Source organism: Homo sapiens, chromosome 1 (genome assembly GCF_000001405.40).
Source record: "Homo sapiens chromosome 1, GRCh38.p14 Primary Assembly".
Classification (NCBI taxonomy): domain Eukaryota; kingdom Metazoa; phylum Chordata; class Mammalia; order Primates; family Hominidae; genus Homo; species Homo sapiens.
In genome coordinates this window covers 152547924-152553177 of record NC_000001.11, presented here as the reverse complement: position 1 = coordinate 152553177, position 5254 = coordinate 152547924, and positions in this window count along the sequence as shown.

Sequence of the window (5254 nt, the reverse complement as noted above, 5' to 3'; positions counted from 1 at the left end):
CATGGCCAGGTACTCCTCTGAGACAAAACTTCCAGAGGAACGATCAGGCAGCAACATTTGCTGCTCACCAATATCCACTGTTCTGCAGCCTCCACTGCTGATACCCAGGCAAGCAGGGTCTGGAGTGGACCTCCGGCAAACTCCAAGAGACCTGCAGCTGAGGGTCCTGACTGTTAGAAGGAAAACCAACAAACAGAAAGAACATCCACACCAAAACCCCATCTGTACGTCACCATCATCAAAGACCACAGGTAGATAAAACCACAAAGTTGGGGAAAAAACAGCAGAAAAACTGAAAAATCTAAAAATCAAAGCACCTCTCCTCCTCCAAAGGAATGCAGCTCCTCACCAGCAACAGAACAAAGCTGGATGGAGAATGACTTTGAAGAGCTGAGAGAAGAAGGCTTCAGATGATCAAACTACTCCAAGCTAAAGGAGGAAGTTTGAACCCATGGCAAAGAAGTTAAAAACCTTGAAAAAAATTAGACGAATGGCTAACTAGAATAACCAATGCACAGAAGTCCTAAAAGGATGTGATGGAGCTGAAAACCATGGCACAAGAACTACATGATGAATGCACAAGCCTCAGTAGCCAATTGGATCAACTGGAAGAAAGGGTATCAGTGATGGAAGATCAAATGAATGAAATGAAGTGAGAAGAGAAGTTTAGAGAAAAAAGAATAAAAGGAAATGAACAAAGCCTCCAAGAAATATGGGACTATGTGAAAAGACCAAATCTATATCTGATTGGTGTACCTGAAAGTGACAGGGAGAATGGAACCAAGTTGGAAAACACTCTGCAGGATATCATCCAGGAGAACTTCCCCAATCTAGCAAGGCAGGCTGACATTCAGATTCAGGAAATACAGAGAACCCCACAAAGATACTCCTTGAGAAGAGCAGCTCCAAGACACATAATTGTCAGATTCACCAAAGTTGAAATGAACGAAAAAATGTTAAGTGCAGCCAGAGAGAAAGGTCGGGTTACCCGCAAAGGGAAGCCCATCAGACTAGCAGCTGATCTCTCAGCAGAAACTCTGCAAGCCAGAAGAGACTGAAGACCAACATTCAACATTCTTAAGAAAAGAATTTTCAACCCAGAATTTCATATCCAGCCAAACTAAGCTTCATAAGTGAAGGAGAAATAAAATCCTTTACAGACGAGCAAATGCTGAGAGATTTTGTCAACAACAGGCCTGCCCTAAAAGAGCTCCTGAAGGAAGCACTAAACATAGAAAGGAACAACCGGTACCAGCCACTGCAAAAACATGCCAAATTGTAAAGGCCATCGATGCTAGGAAGAAACTGCATCAACTAACGAGCAAAATAACCAGCTAACATCATAACGACAGGATCAAATTCACACATAACAATATTAATCTTAAATGTATATGGGCTAAATGCTCCAATTAAAAGACACAGACTGGCAAATTGGATAAAGAGTCAAGAACCATCAGTGTGCTGTATTCAGGAAACCCATCTCACGTGCAGAGACACACATACCCTCAAAAAAGAGGGATAGAGGAAGATCTACCAAGCAAATGGAAAACAAAAAAAGGCAGGGGTTGCAATCCTAGTCTCTGATAAAACAGACTTTAAACCAACAAAGAACAAAAGAGACAAAGAAGGCCATTATATAATGGTAAAGGGATCAATTCAACAAGAAAAGCTAACTATCCTAAATATATATGCACCCAATACAGGAGCACCCAGATTCATAAAGCAAGTCCTCAGAGACCTACAAAGAGACATAGACTCCCACAAAATAATAGTGGGAGACTTTAACACCCCACTGTCAACATTAGACAGATCAACGAGACAAAATTAACAAGGATATCCAGGAATTGAACTCAGCTCTGCACCAAGTGGACCTAATAGACATCTACAGAACTCTCCACCCCAAATCAACAGAATATATATTCTTCTCAGCATCACACCACACCTATTCCAAAATTGACCACATGGTTGGAAGTAAAGCACTCCCCAGCAAATGTAAAAGAACAGAAATTATAATAAACTGTCTCTCAGACCACAGTGCAATCAAACTAGAACTCAGGATTAAGAAACTCACTCGAAACCGCTCAACTACATGGAAACTGAACAACCTGCTCATGAATGACTACTGGGTACATAACGAAATGAAGGCAGAAATAAAGATGTTCTTTGAAACCAATGAGAGCAAAGACACAACATACCAGAATCTCTGGGACACATTCAAAGCAGTGTGTGGAGGGAAATTTATAGCACTAAATGCCCACAAGAGAAAGCAGGAAAGATCTAAAATTGACACCCTAACATCACAATTAAAAGAACTAGAGAAGCAAGAGCAAACACATTCAAAAGCTAGCAGAAGGCAAGAAATAACGAAGATCAGAGCAGAACTGAAGGAAATAGAGACACAAAAAACCCTTCAAAAAATCAATGAATCCAGGAGCTGGTTTTTTGAAAAGATCAACAAAATTGATAAACCACTAGCAAGAGTAATAAAGAAGAAAAGAGAGAAGAATAAAATAGACACAATAAAAAATGATAAAGGGGATATCACCACCGATCCCACAGAAATACAAACTACCATCAGAGAATACTATAAACACCTCTATGCAAATAAACTAGAAAATCTGGAAGAAATGGATAAATTCCTCAACACATACACCCTCCCAAGACTAAACCAGGAAGAAGTTGAATCTCTGAATAGACCAATAACAGACTCTGAAATTGAGGCAAAAATTAATAGCTTACCAACCCAAAAAAGTCCAGGACCAGATGGATTCACAGCCGAATTCTACCAGAGGTACAAGGAGGAGCTGGTACCATTCCTTCTGAAACTATTCCAATCAATAGAAAAAGAGGGAATCCTCCCTAACTCATTTTATGAGGCCAGCATCATCCTGATACCAAAGCTTGGCAGAGACACACACACAAAAAAAGAATTTTAGACTAATATCCCTGACGAACATCAATGCAAAAATCCTCAGTAAGATACTGGCAAACCGAATCCAGCAGCACGTCAAAAAGTTTATCCACCATGATCAAGTGGGCTTCATCCCTGGGATGCAAGGCTGGTTCAACATACACAAATCAATAAACGTAATCCAGCATATAAACAGAACCAACAACAAAAACCATATGATTATCTCAATAGATGCAGAAAAGGCCTTTGACAAAATTCAACAGCCCTTCATGATAAAAACTCTCAATAAATTAGGTATTGATGGGACGTATCTCAAAATAATAAGAGTTATTTATGACAAACCCACAGCCAATATCATACTGAATGGACAAAAACTGGAAGCATTCCCTTTGAAAACTGGCACAAGACAGGGATGCCCTCTCTCACCACTCCTATTCAACATAGTGTTGGAAGTTCTGGCCAGGGTAATCAGGCAGGAGAAGGAAATAAAGGGTATTCAGTTAGGAAAAGAGGAAGGCAAATTGTCCCTGTTTACAGATGACATGATTGTATATCTAGAAAACCCCAATGTCTCAGCCCAAAATCTCCTTAAGCTGATAGGCAGCTTCAGCAAAGTCTCAGGATACAAAATCAATGTGCAAAAATCACAAGCATTCTTATACACCAATAACAGACAAACACAGAGCCAAATCATGAGTGAACTCCCATTCACAATTGCTTCAAAGAGAATAAAATACCTAGGAATCCAACTCACAAGGGATGTGAAGGACTTCTTCAAGGAGAACTACAAACCACTGCTCAATGAAATAAAAGAGGATACAAACAAATGAAAGAACATTCCACATTCATGGACAGGAAGAATCAATATCATGAAAATGGCCATACTGCCCAAGGTAATTTATACATTCAATGCCATCCCCATCAAGCTACCAATGACTTTCTTCACAGAATTGGAAAAAAACTACTTTAAAGTTCATATGGAACCAAAAAAGAGCCCTCATTGCCAAGTCAATCCTAAGCCAAAAGAACAAAGCTGGAGGCATCACGCTAACTGACTTCAAACTCTACTACAAGGCTACAGTAACCAAAACAGCATGGTACTGGTACCAAAACAGAGATATAGATCAATGGAACAGAACAGAGCCCTCAGAAATAATGCCGCATATCTACAACTATCTGATCTTTGACAAACCTGAGAAAAACAAGCAATGGGGAAAGGATTCTCTATTTAATAAATGGTGCTGGGAAAACTGGCTAGCCATATGTAGAAAGCTGAAACTGGATCCCTTCCTTACACCTTATACAAAAAGCAATTCAAGATGGATTAAAGATTTAAATGTTAGATGTACAACCATAAAAACCCTAGAAGAAAACCTAGGCATTACCATTCAGGACATAGGCATGGGCAAGGTCTTCATGTCTAAAACACCAAAAGCAATGGCAACAAAAGCCAAAATTGACAAATGGGATCTAATTAAACTTAAGAGCTTCTGCACAGCAAAAGAAACTACTATCAGAGTGAACAGGCAACCTATAGGATGGGAGAAAATGTTTCCAATCTACTCATCTGACAAAGGGCTGATATCCAGAATCTACAATGAGCTCAAATAAATTTACAAGAAAAAAACAAACAACCCCATCAACAAGTGGGCAAAGGATATGAACAGACACTTCTCAAAAGAAGACATTTATGCAGCTAAAAAACACATGAGGAAATGCTCATCATCACTGGCCATCAGAGAAATGCAAATCAAAACCACAATGAGATACCATCTCACACCAGTTAGAATGGCAATCATTAAAAAGTCAGGAAACAACAGGTGCTGGAGAGGATGTGGAGAAATAGGACCACTTTTACACCGTTGGTGGGACTGTAAACTAGTTCAACCATTGTGGAAGTCAGTGTGGCGATTCCTCAGGGATCTAGAACTAGAAATACCATTTGACCCAGCCATCCCATTACTGGGTATATACCCAAAGGTTTATTAAGCATGCTGCTATAAAGACACACGCACACGTATGTTTATTGCAGCACTATTCACAATAGCAAAGACTTGGAACCAAGCCAAATGTCCAACAATGATAGACTGGATTAAGAAAATGTGGCACATATACACCATGGAATACTACGCAGCCGTAAAAAATGATGAGTTCATGTCGTTTGTAGGGACATGGATGAAGCTGGAAACCATCATTCTCAGCAAACTATTGCAAGGACAAAAAACGAAACACCGCATGTTCTCACTCATAGGTGGGAATTGAACAATGAGAACACATGGACACAGGAAGGGGAACATCACACACGGGGACCTGTTGTGGGGTGGGGGGACGGGGGAGGGATAG